The 14,684-nt window shown below is 39.1% G+C and overlaps 1 protein-coding gene across 8 annotated transcripts in view; it reads left to right on the top strand.

The window, feature by feature from the left end:
• Positions 1-14,269, top strand: part of SH3YL1 (SH3 and SYLF domain containing 1) — a 46,689-nt gene extending 32,420 nt beyond the window's left edge. For 3 of the 8 annotated variants that reach the window (NR_104223.2, NM_015677.4, NM_001282687.2), the window contains 4 exons: positions 1,214-1,382; positions 2,361-2,439; positions 7,485-7,541; positions 13,404-14,261. Coding sequence is in view for 4 of the 8 variants with exons in the window: in NM_015677.4 (NP_056492.2) it covers positions 1,214-1,382; positions 2,361-2,439; positions 7,485-7,541; positions 13,404-13,594 (496 nt within the window). In the remaining 4 variants the exon portion in view is untranslated. Of the gene's footprint in view, positions 1-1,213; positions 1,859-2,360; positions 2,440-7,484; positions 7,542-13,403 lie in introns of all 8 variants that reach the window. The other 5 variants (NM_001282682.2, NM_001159597.3, NR_104225.1 and 2 more) reach the window with 4 other exon arrangements.
• The last annotated feature ends 415 nt before the right edge of the window (positions 14,270-14,684 follow it).

The raw sequence follows: 14,684 nt of genomic DNA, 5'->3' as shown, positions 1-14,684 counted from the left end.
CCGATTTCAGTGATTTTCAGATGTTTGTGGAAGGCACACCAGTTACAACTCATGTGTCAGTCAGTATTCCTTGTTGTGAGGTTTCCTGTTCTACACTCCACCTTTGTCTTTTCTCATGTCAAATAGAGAGCAATTTAAAATACAGTTTGATTTAAAAAAAAAAAAAGAATCTGGAAGTATCCTAAAAGGTAAAGGGAAACTTCTACTTTAAATTGGCATCTGGCTGATTTTTCCCAAAGATGCAAATTAAGTGGCTCTTACAAATTGCCACTAAAATATGTGTAAAGGCCCAGAAAGAGATAAAGAGCTAAGACTGACAGCAGGACTTCTTCCAGAACCTGCAGAAGTTCCATCATTGCCAGCTTGATCGGCTGGCACTGCTGGCATTGGCCATTCAAATTCGCCACGCGTGGCAGACAGACCCGCCACTATCCGAGACAAAGCATCCAGTGTTTACCCCACCGAGTCATTCAGGAACTGAACAGCACTATTTAATAAAGCTAAATATAAACCACAAGAGGTAGAAAATAGGAGGGATGGGGAAAAATAAGGTTTTCAGAACTATTCATCTTATAAAATCAAAAGTGATGTGTTAACTCCTGGCTTTATTAATTTGAGAACAGTTAACAAAAGAATGCTTTTAGAAACTTCTGGTTCGAGCCCGTTGGCAGGCCTTCCCACTAAAGTTCAACTAAACCCTGGATAAACTAAAACAAATATGTTGCTTAATGAATGGCAGGACCTCCAAGCATGTAAGGCAAATGTTTATTTAATCTTGATAAAAATAAATATTTTAAGGAAATTACAAAGCCACAGTTATAGGTACCATTTTTTAAAGAAATTTAAAAAGTAAAAACCTATAAAAATGTATGTGCTTGTGTGTATATTTATATGTGTTTATATATGAATATGTGTATGTATATATATGGGCAAGTATAAGTATTTCCATGATAATGTGGATGTGCTTTTTATATTAATAAAGAAAGGATACATATAAGGATATTTATGGTAGTTGCCTGTAGAAGTGAACTTTGGGGTACATTTAAGACTTGAACATGGGATATTGCTTAAAGTTAGTGTTTAAAAAGTAGTGTATATGAAGTGCTATGTATGAATGATTATATATACACACCGTGTGTGCGCACATGCTATGTTTAACTCTAGAAAAGATTTGTGTATATTAAAATGTTTTTAATTTTATATTTCCCATTAGATTTTATTGTCAAGATATCCGAGCTTATGACATTTTATTTGGAGATACACCGCGGCCTGCTCAAGCCGAAGATCTTTATGAAATTCTTGATTCCTTTACTGAAAAGTATGAAAATGAAGGACAACGAATCAATGCAAGAAAAGCAGCAAGGGAGCAGAGGAAGTCTTCTGTACCGTTTGGTTTTATGTTTCACTCAGTATTCTCAGAAAATCTCTTTCTGTAGAACATTCTGTCCCTGATATCAGGTTCCTAAGAACCTACTAAGCCTCCTTCGTAGTTTCACTGACTTCACATTCTTGTGAAAAGGTCATGCTACCTTGACATTTCCTCTGTACAGATTTCAGGGAAAAACATAATTTGTCCTCTGTGATTGCATTTCTCCAAGGATGGAACTTTGTTGTATCAATAATACAAATAATATGTGGGAGGCTGAGGCAGGTGGAGCACTTGAGATCAGGAGTTTCAGACCAGCCTGGCCAACATGGCAAAACCCCCTCTCTACCATAAAAATAGAAACATTAGCTGGGCATGGTGGCGTGTGCCCATAATCTCAGCTACTCAGGAGGCTGAAACAGGAGGATCGCTTGAGCCCATGAGGTTGCACTGAGCCAAGATCATGCCATTGCACTCAGCCTAGGCAACAGAGTAAGACCTTATCTCAATAATAATATATGAATAATAGTTGCAGATACTGACGCCTTTGTATGTCAGGCCTTGGGGCACCGAGGGATTTGTGTGCATTGTTCATGATGTTCCACAGCACCTTTCAGAGTTGGTATGATGCCTGTTTCATGGAATAAAAACTGAAGCCTAGAGTTTGTCTGTCACTGCCTCTGCCAGTTGCTTGCTAAACCAATTACTACACCACCGTCCCTGCAGCTCCCTAAGACCTTGCACAGGTGGTCAGAGGTGCCTGGGGGAGGTTAGCTTCCAGGCATGAGAAGAGCACACCCTGTCCACATCTGAGTCTTGTCATCCAGTTCAATTACATAGAGTCCAGAGGGGTGCATGTGAGCTTTGAGAGTGCCACATTAATAAGCACACATGATAAAAGTTTGCTACATAACCTCATTAGAAAAGAGTTATATGTGCCTAAGTAAAAACAAGATTTTAAAATTATGTGTATTTATCTTTTTGTTTCTCCCAGGCTAAAGAATTACCTCCAAAGCCATTGTCAAGACCACAGCAGTCATCTGCACCAGTCCAGCTGAACTCTGGCTCTCAAAGTAAATATTTTTGTTGCAATTCAAATACAGTTGTAATTAAGTAATTATTAAATGTTATCATTAAGAAATCAAGATACATTGTTAAACTTTAGAGTTAAATAGAAGAACTAACATATTTAAGAGTAAAATAAGTGCTCAGCCTCTTCTAAATACATGAGACAAATTGTCATTGCTATAATTTATGAAAACTTCTCTTTCTATTCATAAGACACTTTCTTTTTTTTTTTTTTTTTTTTTGAGACGGAGTCTCGCTCTGTCGCCCAGGCTGGAGTGCAGTGGCGGGATCTCGGCTCACTGCAAGCTCCGCCTCCCGGGTTCACGCCATTCTCCTGCCTCAGCCTCCCAAGTAGCTGGGACTACAGGCGCCCGCCACTACGCCCGGCTAATTTTTTGTATTTTTAGTAGAGACGGGGTTTCACCGTTTTAGCCGGGATGGTCTCGATCTCCTGACCTCGTGATCTGCCCGCCTCGGCCTCCCAAAGTGCTGGGATTACAGGCGTGAGCCACCGTGCCCGGCCCATAAGACACTTTCTTAAATCTACAAAGATATTTATCTTCAAAGGTTTTCTCATTTATTTTCTGTGCCATTTCTTCCAAAAACCGTTATCCTTCTGATTTGAAATGAGAACAAAATAAGCCTGTTTTTTTCTTATCATACTCATATTTATAATTCTGAATATCAGTTTTGACATATGTTCTTTGGAGCTCAGGATCTCATAAGGTGGTTTTTAAACTAGATGACATTTATAAAGCACCAGGTTTTGGTCTTTATCTTTCTCTCTATCATTCATTTTTGTGAATCACTTGTGTTTCTGTTTTTCGTATATGGAGGTTACCAGTAAATAGGAATACATTGAAGTAGGGACTTTCATGTGATGATTGACTGTTATACAAGAGTCATTGTGCTGTGGCTTTGGGTGCACAAAGGTGACTTTAACGTAGATCTTGCCTTTAGAGGACTTTCAGAACAAGAGGAGAGAGATTACATGTAGAAACATAACTGCTGTTAGTGGGAGAAGGCATATAAGTTTTGCGGGGAGTAAATAGTAAAGCTCTGCAGAAGGCGGGAAGCGCATCCTCGGCCTCCTCCTTAATTTTCTGTAATCATTTTCCCCAGTTTTGAGCCCAAGTCCCTCATATGATTCTTGGCTGTGCCTTTGACTGGTCTAAATGTAACCCTCCCAGGAAGATGCTCAGGAACCAGGCCTATTCCTCATTACCAACCTGCCTCCTGCCCCTGCGTCTGTCTCCTGTTCTTCTGGGATAAGCCGTGGTCCACTGCTGATTCATGTTCAGATGATTGATTTACTGAAACTCATATTTGCAGTGACTAATGAGATATGAGCACTGAATTTATTTTTATTTTAGATCTGAGTGATTATATAGAATTTGACCCATATGTATGTTTTAAAATATATAAAATGTCCTCACTGAGAATGGATACCTGCATATGCATGTATGAAATCCTCTCATTTATAAAAATTCTAGTCCTCTTAGTATCAGGTCCTTATCAGTGCGGATTTAAAAATGACTGTGGACCTTACCTCAAAAAATTCCTTTCCGTTAATAATTGAAAAGCTCTGAAGGTTGTTTCTGCCATATAACCCCCTTGTGTGAGCTTTCTAAAAACAGGCCCTTTGCCTGTGCCAGCTTGCGGATCTGTTTCCCACGGTGACCACGTGTGTTCCCCGAACCCTTTCTTGGGGAGATGGGCAGTGCCCTCCCCATTTTGCACAGCCACAGCTGTGTCCCTGCCGGTGGACAGGTTAGCCTGGCCACATTTCTGCAGCCTCAGCCTCACTCGACACACTCGTGAACACTCCTCCTCCCTCCACCTTTTCAGCTTCATCCTTTGTGGCTAGGCCACTACAGTTTTTCCATGCGATACCATCATTTCTCATGTGCTGTATCTCTCAAGTTTTGAATATCAGTTTTTAATTCAGTAAACTAAAAATTTAAAACTAGTGACTACTTTTAATGTTTTATGTTAAATCTGACCTTTTCTTAAGTTCTTTATTTAAAAACTAAGTATTTTCAATTTATTTACATATCCTTACACACACACACACACACACATAATTTTATGGAAATGCACGTATGCTCATATGGAGGGTCTGTGAAGGCAGTATTTTTTTTCTTTTCCTTTGTTGTGTTGCTTCCTTTTCCCATTTCACCTATGTTTTCACTTTCAAGATACCTTCCTCTACCCTGATTTCAGGAAACCCACGTTCACAACATAAATTATGAACTTTCACGTTGTTTTCTCCATTCTTGTGTAGTCCTACACATGGCATGTACAAACATATACATAAACATGGCCAGAATATTTTTGTCTCATAAAAATGCTATCATCTTATACGTGCTTTACTATATCTTCTTTATATTTATTTATTTATTTGTTATTTGTTGGTTTGTTTTGCTCAACAACTCCGCGTAGAAATCCCTAAGTCAACTGGTATAGTTCTGTTTGCTTCTTTTTAATAATTATTCAGTATCCATGGCACAAATGTATATAGTTTACTCATTCACTCTCCTATTGATGTATATTAACTTTATTTCAGATTTTTTTCCATGCCAAACAGTGTCACAATTGATATACTTCTAAATTAATATTTATATATACTGGCACTTTTATTTTTTTTGAGATAGTTACCAGGAGTGGACATAATAGGTCAAATAATATATTTTTAAAGTTTTAACAGATTTAGCAGATTACTTTTCAAAAGTTTTTACTACTTAGAGTCTCATCAACCATTTCCCCACCGTAACATTCACCAGCACATGCATTCCCCACCATGTATACCATCCACCATGTACAATCCTAACCATATATACTCCCCACCATATATACACTCCCCATAACCTTCCCACCATAATAGTCCCCACTATAGTTGCTTCCCGCCATAGGCATTTCCTACCATGCACATTTCCCACTAGACACCATATGCATTCTCCATCATGTATGCTACCCACCATATGCATTCCCCAACATGTGTACCACCCACCATGTGCATTTTTCACCATGGTTACTATCCACCATATGCATTCTCCACCATATGAATTATCCACCATTTATGCTGCCCACCATATTCTGTACCGTGTATACTACCGACCATGTGCAATCCTAACCATATATACTCCCCAGTATATGTATTCTCCCCAGTATATGTACACTCCCCACCATATATACACTCCCCACCATATATACACTCCCCAATAACATTCCCAAGTCTTCATTATATAGGCTTCCCACCAGACATTCCCACTATACACATTCCCCACTGTCCATTTTCATTCTCAACCATATATCTTCCCCACTGTATGCATTCCTCACTATATACATTCTCCACCATCTACATTCCCCACCAAGTGCATTTTCAACTATTACATCCATTATGACATTCTTCAGCATATACCTTCCCCACCACTATTAGTGCGGAAGCATCTAGAAGATTTTGCCAGTCAAGGCTTGTCACATCTCCTTGTTAATTGGATTGTATTTATTCCTATTAGTGAATGTAAACATCTCTTCATATAAATTGCTGGTGTTTTGGATTTAATCTTATCTGAAAAGTCTCTTCATTTCATTGGTCTATTTTTCCTATTGGGATATTTGTTGCTTTCTCAATTTATGGAAATGTTATCTATATTATAGGTTTTGTTGGTCATTTGGATTGCAGCATATTTCTACACTTACCATTTTTCTTTTGATCTTGTTTTTCATAATTTTACTCCATGAAAGTTTTAAATTTTATCTAAAAATAAGTCTATCATTTAGTTTTTATAGATTTGGATACTTTGGTCATGATTAAGGTCTTCCCACCTCCTACACAAGAGTATGTTCATAGTCTCCTAGATTTTCTTGTGATTTTTTTATCTTTGCATTTACTGGATACTTAGTCTTCACATAATTTGAGCTCATTTTCCTAATTTTCCCCTCCTCCCCAATATACAATTCTAGTTGAAACAGTATGATGTACTTGTATCCATTCTATAATTTTTCAATGCTAATTATGGTAACATTACATGTATACATTTATTACTTTGAGATATAATAATTTTACCATTTCATGCTTTCCATTTGTTGAGATTTTATGTCTTTCAATAAGACTTTGTAATTTCTGTGCCTTTTGTGTTAAATTTGTTCCCAAGTACTTTGAGATTTTGATCTGCTAAGGTGAATGGAATGCACTTTTCTATTTCTACTTAAGTACCAATTTTCACAGTGAAGGAAATCTTAATTTGCATATATTTTGTTTGTCTTATATCTCGTCACTTGCTCAAAACTATTTCTAGTCAGTTTTTAAAAATAGATTCTCAGAGGATATTTGTATCCTTTTCCCATCCCACCAAACTTTATTTCTAAATTCTGACTTTCATAAATGTCTTAGGCCAGTGGCCTTCACACTGGTGTGTGCCTGTCTTTAGGAGTACGCAGAGACTGCAAAAGGGGGTGTGGGCACAGGCCACTTAAGAGACACCATCTCCAGATCTCCAGCTCCTGGATAAGTTCTTTTTAAAGCTGAACATGATGTGCAAGGTGTGCTCTTCGTCTTCTGTACTGTTAGAATCAGTTTTTCTGCAGTTGAAGAAGAAAAGCAAACCCCCAGACCGTTCTGCCTCTTTCTACACTACATCACCCCAGAGCGTCAGAACGGGAATCCAGTGTGAAATGTGGATGCAGTTAGTGAATGGCTCTTATGCAGTGTAAATCCTTCCATGAATCAGTGATTTCTGTTTCTTTGCCTTCAATGCAATTGAAGAAGAACCTAATAGAATTGTCATCTGAATTTATAATGAGAATAGTGTGTGTACTTCTGTGTCATACAGATGTCAGGTATTTATCATCTACCTTATACTTCATGTATCTTCTGGCTTTATTCAGGTATACCTTGTGATTTAAAGCGCAATCAAATGATGATGATCCTATCAACTTAGTGATTTAAAATATTTGCTCAGCAAGGGCAGGATCTGGCAATTTTGTGTATTTTGTATGATATATACTAATCAGTTTTCAAAATCACCACTCTCCTCTTTTTTGGCAGGTAACAGAAATGAATATAAGCTCTATCCTGGACTTTCCAGCTATCATGAGAGAGTTGGTAAATCAGTAAATCTATATGTTATAAATGATTCATATTCATTTTGTGATCACAAACTTCCTAATTAATCTGACAGGTTATGAAAATCTCTGGGAAGTGTTCAGCCCTTTAATTTATAGAATATTCACATTCTTTTGAGAAGTACTTCATTTAGAAAATGCTATGCTTTTGTTATCTTACTTGCCTTTAAGGTAATGAGGGTGATAGGAAGCTGACAGTCAGTGTTGTCTGTGTAGGGAGTGTGTGCTGGGGACAGCGCTGCTAAGCCCCGGATAGGAGCTAACCGTCAGTGTTATCTGTGTAGGGAGTGTGTGCTGGGGACAGGGCTGCTGAGCCCCGGGAGCCATGGCATCATCTGAGGAGCATGTGATCTCCTCCACATTTGCTGTCTGGAAGCTTTTGAATTTACAATGGAGATAAAATGAGAAAGTTTGCTAATTCTGAATTACAATTTCATCCTTATTCCATTTTCTCTGTGTTTTAGCACCATAAATTTTATATTTCTAAGAATTTTATTTTTCACATTCAAATGTTTTGTTATTACTGGAAACTACTTTATAAAACTTGTTAAGATTTACCATAGTAAAAATGGTCCTTCAATCTGTCTTACTTAAATATTCTTCAGAGGTTTCCCTGAAGAGAATTGAGCAATTATTTGCAAATGTGAGTGGTACACAAATTGAGGGCAAAGTTAAACAATCATAAAATAGCCTGTTTATTTTTTCACATTGAATACTTTCGTCATTGGAGTCACAAAGCTATATGCTGCTGGATATAAAACTGTCGGAGAATTAAACATTTCATGTAAATAAAATACCAAAAATTAGGTACTCAAGCATATTTTAAAAATTTATATCATGCAGATAAAAATATGTTGAAAAGGTCTCTTAAGCAGCATCCCCTGAAGAGAGGTCAGCATGTTCCTGATGGATTTAGGGTTGGTGACCTTTCTTTTCACCCTGGCCTCCCCTTCTGGGAGCCCACTCCAGTGTTTTTCCCAGATGTTTCTCCTCCGAGGGGGTTGAGCATCTGCTCCTAGAGTCCTGTATGGAGAGCAGGTGCGATGGTCGGGGGCTCACCTACAGAAGATGCTGTGCCATGGTCTTAGGTATGCAGAGAAAGCTCTGAGAGGTTTTAAAAATGTGTTTCACCCTTTGTGGTTCACACCCATGTTACAGGCCATGTTAAAGAGACATCAAGTTCACACCCACATTACAGGCTGATTTAAAGAGACATGAAAAGTTTGGCCTTTGGATACACATCCTGTAGAAGCAAAAGTGGTTAAGGTATAAATGTTGACACCAAGACAGCGTAAACACCTAGATTTTTATCTTACACAGCCTCTTACTTTTAAAGACTCAAGATTAGACTTAGACTTAGGTATCTGGTTGTTAAAGTGCTCCTAAACTTGACAAGGTCAGCTGACTGGCTGCACTTGCTTGGGAAGGGAGGGGATCCCTACAGAGAGACAGAGCTGAGGGAAGCTGGCTGAAAAAGAGCTGAGGCCACAGATCCCCCAAAGAATGCCTTGGTAATGTGACATTGGGAACTAGAGTTCCTTTCTCTATTAGAAACTTCCTATAAACAGCACCAAGGAAAAACGTTTCCTGATAAGAAATTAAACTCTAAGTGGGCTGTGGAGACAGAGATTCCAGTTCGAACCCCCGTACTTTCACTTACCAGCTGTGGGACCCAAAGGGAACATCACTTGCCATGGTTGGTTTCTCCGTTGCTTCTGTGTTTGTATTTGAGGACAGGACAAGGTAAATGGTAACTCAGTTACAACTGAGTTAATATTCCTTTAGCCCATTCTCCAAAGAGGTTCTTGAAGAAAAAATTAAAAGGGAAGATTTACAGTCCACTTTTTAAATAAAACTCACTTTACGTTACGGAATTTTTTTAAACGCAGCTGTGAAGGCATTAACCTCTTACCAAGGATTTCCTCATGTTTGCTTACCATCGCTGCAGAGAAAAGTCACAGTTACATGGCCCCAGGGCCCGAGCCTTAAATTGAAAACCTGATGAAGCAGGACACTGAGTCCTCCACGTGCGAGCTCCTGAATCTGTCTCAGCCCCACGGAGGGGCTGCTGGGTGTGATGATCAGCTACATCACCTGTACTTTCCTCCCACCATCTTTTGGCTTTGCCCTTTGGAAGGTCCAGCTGTGTAGTTCTTGGGCCTCTGAGAGAGACAAGGCTTGCAAATGCACAGTCCAATTTTCTGATCTTCCCTCTAGGGACTCTGGAAGGAATGGTTTCATAATCAAAAGCTTGGACCCTCCAGCGTCAGCATTCTTCCCCGTCCTCTTACCCATCCCATAGTTGTCTGGGATGGGGTTTCTCAACCTGGGCACTACACACAATTTAGGCTGGATAACACTTTGTTGTAGGGGCTATCTTGTGCCTCATAGGGTGCTTAGCAAAGGCTGTGTTCTCCTAGTTGTGACCTTCCCAAGGCTGTGATTTTTTTCCTGAAACAGTCAGGCCAGGGGTGCTGGCTGCACAGGGTCTGCCTCATGCAGGCTCCATGAGAAAGTGGACTGGAAGTGAAACAGGGACATCCACAGACCAGCCTTTCTAATCATGGGCCTCAGGGCAGCTGCCAGTCACCAATGCTGACTGTGATCTAATTCTGCTTCCTGTTTGGGAAAAATAACCCCTACTTCAACTAAACTTGAATATTATAAAGGAAATGGCCAATTCCCTCAAAGATCCTTCCGATTTTTTAAGTACATGAGTATAAGGCTGAAAGGCATATGCTGTGCAGAAGGAAAGGCATCTGTGAATGCCTAGCTTTTTAGTAACTCAGTGGGGTTTGCTTCCCGGTAACCAGGAAGGTTTTTCTTCATGGAAGGAATCATTACTTGACTCACCTTTTATTGGTGAATTCTTTGTGGGCATTAAACTTCTCCTTGTGAAAATTATCTCTAATATTTACATTAAAGAGGAACTTTAAGTCATTTGGAGTTTTTCAAAGAAAAAAACTAACAGGGCACAGCACTAACTGGCTTGTGGATTGTTATCTGAGAAAGCAGATAGGCTCCTGGATCTGCTGGCCTCACTCTTGTGATTTTCATGTGGATGGAGTTTCTCCAACAACAGCTCAACTCCTGACTCTCTTGTACTCCTCCCCAGGAGGCAGAGGCATTTGTGGTCAATTGGGTGAGGAATTGGGCACAAGGAACAGTCAACACACATCTTAGCCTCAGTAAAGGAGAAATGTGAGATCCCGGCCCCCTCAGACCTTCAGTGGTGGCCTTCCCTTCAGCTGCACCTGAAAACCACCCACGTTGCTCCTCTACCCTCCTCTCTCACTCTGCTTTATCCTCATTTCATTTGGAATCTGCAATTCAGAGAAAATTAGACCAACACCTGATTGTGAGGGCAGGGACCAAACCAGGTGTGTGATCTCGCCTTCTTTCTCTTTCTTAGTTCATAATATATTTATTTCTCTAATTATTCCTCATAAAATATATTCCTGAAACTGCTTAGAACCAATTCAGTTATCAGGGATTACCCAGAACCATAGCATCAGATGCTGTTATTTGTACAGTCTGGAAACCCAGTGAGGCAGGTCACCACATTAATCCCCCTTGAACATTTGCCTCATAAAAGTAAAATGCTCCGATAAATGTCAGTTTGGTCTGTTGAGCACAATTTCATATTTATGAGGTTGTTGAGGGTCTTGGATGACCTGGAGACAAGCTTCATTCCTGACCTTGGACAAATTACTTGTTATCTCTGAAGCTCAGTTTCAAATTCTGTGATGTGGGATAGGAGTAGCTGGCTCATTGCAGTGGGCGGTGTAAGAGGAGCACATGTGTGTGCCTGAGCAGTTCGCGGTGGCTGCTCTTCCCAGATGCACATCGATTGCTGTTATCATTGTTGTCGTCCTTATTATGCATTTTTGATTTTATAAATGAGACTGCAAGTGTATAAATGCATGGTAGCTAAGATGGCTGTGGCTCCCAGAACATTCCCTGATGTTCACAAGCACTCTTTTAATTCACTTCTTCCTATTATCTAACGTGTCTGGGAGACAAGAGGGAGGAGAACAGAGTTCCTGGAGGTTCTTCACTGATTTGTTCTGGTTAATTAAGATTCAGCTTTATATGTGGATATCCTAAATATAATCATGAATAAGAGATTTCCAGGATGGATTTTTCTTTAGCATTAGCTTGCATCCTGATCTGATGACAGGGAAGCACGGCGTGAGCGCCTGCCCGGTACCCCACCCAGGGCAGAGCACAGCTCCTTTCACAGTGCATGGCAGCGACTGCTCATTAACGTGTAGAATTTAATCGTGTACTTAGAACGTTTAACTTAACTTCTGTTGTTTCTAGACTATGTCAAAATTTTATTTTGGTGACATTCTTTTATCCTTATTCCTTAAAATTGTTAACTAAAAGTAAATATAGGACAAAATAAAATATACAGAAATTCTTTTTATTATAGAAAAAAGTAGTTATACCAGTATTATCTCTAGTGTAATTATTATTAGGATTATTTCTTTAGAACTCAACTAAATGGCACATACTTTAAAGAAAGAATGGTAGCACCATCTTGTGAGAGCTACAAATTCAGTGTTTTAGTCAGAGTAGTTTAAAGTGTTGACTATTTTTATTTCTTATGGGTGGACCAAATTCACTTTATTATTATTATTATTATTATTATTGTATTATGGGTTCAAATAGGACCTGGCTCTAGAGTCTGGTTATTGATGTTTTCTGTATGTCTGTACATCTAGTTGCCTAATTTATGCACAGAATTATATGAAGCATAGAAGCATCAGACTCCATGTAGCTGAGTGCTCAAAAACTGTTTAATTATATTTTTATGATGTTATGTGGTTTATAATATTTAATGTCCTTTATTCATGTTAACTGCTCAGTTCTCAAAGTATTTTCTTCCTTCTGCAATACATGGATATACACATTGCATTGAAGTACTTGTGAAACATGTAGAAATGCTCCTACCTGTGCTAATTCCAACTTATCTCTGATATTGAGAGGATGGATCAATTAAGCACAGAAATGTAAACAGCCACAAAGCCCAGGGAGAAGAAATGTCTGCTGAGGAAACAGCAAAATATAACTGGGCTGCAATCTTCAAGCCCAGTGAGTAAAGAGCCAGGTTTTAAAGTTGAATCTCCTAGGGTTTGATATAAGCTCACATATCTGCCTTTCTCCAGCATCTGCCATCCATGAAACTGTCACACTATCTTGGCCCCTTCCAGCTGCTGTAACAAAACACCATAGTCTGGGCAGCTCATAGACAATGGAATTTTATTTCTCACGCTTCTGGAGGCTGGATTCCAAGATCAAGGTTCCAGGAGACTCAGTGTCTGGCAAGGTCTCGGTTTCTGCCTCAGAGATGGTGCCATCTGGCTGTGTCCTCACAAGGAGGAAGGTGCAAGAAGCTCCCCTCAGGCTCTGTCTGTAAGACACTGATCCCATTCATGAGGGGGAAACGTAATGACCTAATCAGCCCCCAGAGACCCCACTTCTAACACCATCACCTTGGGGTTGAGGATTTCAACACTTGAATCTCAGGGGGACACAGACATTCAGACCACAGCAATGACTATATTAAAATAGAAAAAATGTAAGTTGTATTATCTCATAGATTATTCAAAATTTAGACGATTGTAACCAGAAGCATGTGCTAAATCCTTAGGTATAGAATGTGCAGAGAAAAATAAGTTTAATAATGTGATGAAAATTACACAGACTGTTGTGGTTTCTGCCAGCCTCCAAGACATCAGCATGCCAAGCCCTAAGTGGTTAATTTTTATCTTACCAGCAGATACCCCCAATTTCTCCCTTAAAGAACATAAACGTGAATACTTTTTTCTTGTTTCAGGCAATTTGAATCAACCCATAGAAGTGACAGCGCTGTATTCATTTGAAGGACAGCAGCCTGGGGATTTGAATTTTCAAGCTGGAGACAGAATCACAGTTATATCAAAAACAGATTCACATTTTGATTGGTGGGAAGGAAAACTTCGAGGTCAAACTGGCATTTTTCCAGCCAACTACGTAACCATGAATTAAAGCGTATACTATTTTCTTCTTTGAGAATTACAAAAAAATTATTTCTACACTGACAGGATTTACTAGTTAAGCAATGTTTAATATAAATTTTAAAAAACTTCTGTTCTACAAAATTTCCATTCCGTATGTAAAAGATTTTGTTTTTCTATATAAAAAGAGCTGACTGACATATCTTTAAATACTTTGTACTAACTTTATCACACTTACTGTGTCATAGAATATCATACAGTTTATACGCTCATAGTTCTCTTGTGAACACTTCAAACATCGCTAAGCATTTGATCTGGCCATGTATATGGTAGCTGTGTTTTAATTTGAGAATCTTGAGGGTAGAGCCACAAATTTCAATTCTTACATTTCCATTTGCAAAGTGACTAGAGAAAAAGAAATCAGCTTAAATGAGGTATTAAGTAATGTTTAGAGTCGTAGGTATTAACTAGAATATAAATCCTTAGAAATTGTCTTTATACCTTCAAAAATTATACTATGCATTTATCATAGAAATGTGATTACAAAGAAGTCTGACTACCATGTCTTTAAACATATGGCATCTCTCAACTTTTCTTCCTTATGGGGCTACATTTGTTCATTTCCAGCAGTAGCATAAACTTACGGTGACATGGTAGACTTGTCTCTAAATAAAATTTTTAAATGTTTACTAAGTTAATATTTCAATTTTGTTTTTCTTATTTTTTTTGTAAGGTAGGCAGAAGTCCTATGTCTCATATGCAGGGTGAAATCCACCTCCGTTCTGGGCTGCCTGAGCTCCTTCCTGAACTCTAGACTCCCCTCTCCAGCTATGCACTTTACAGCTCCGTTTGGACAAGGAACAACACCTCAGCCTTCACGGGCTCAAATCCAAGCTCTTCTTTCTCCTCACTTAGCCTGCCCCTCCCACAGTGTTCCTCTTCAGTAAATGGAAATTCCATCCTTGGATTTCCTTGGTCCTCAGGGTGACTTCAGAGCCAACTTTCGTTCTTCTATCTCATGCCCTCTATTAAATCCACCAGAGATTCTGTTGCCTTTCAGACACTCGCTGACCCAATATTTGCGCTCCCCCATGCCCACCCTGAAGCGAGCTGCCCGCTCA

The sequence above is a fragment of the Homo sapiens genome, chromosome 2 (assembly GCF_000001405.40).
Source record: "Homo sapiens chromosome 2, GRCh38.p14 Primary Assembly".
Classification (NCBI taxonomy): domain Eukaryota; kingdom Metazoa; phylum Chordata; class Mammalia; order Primates; family Hominidae; genus Homo; species Homo sapiens.
The sequence above is the reverse complement of the archived record's forward strand: the minus strand, read 5'-3'. Positions and strand labels throughout refer to the sequence as shown.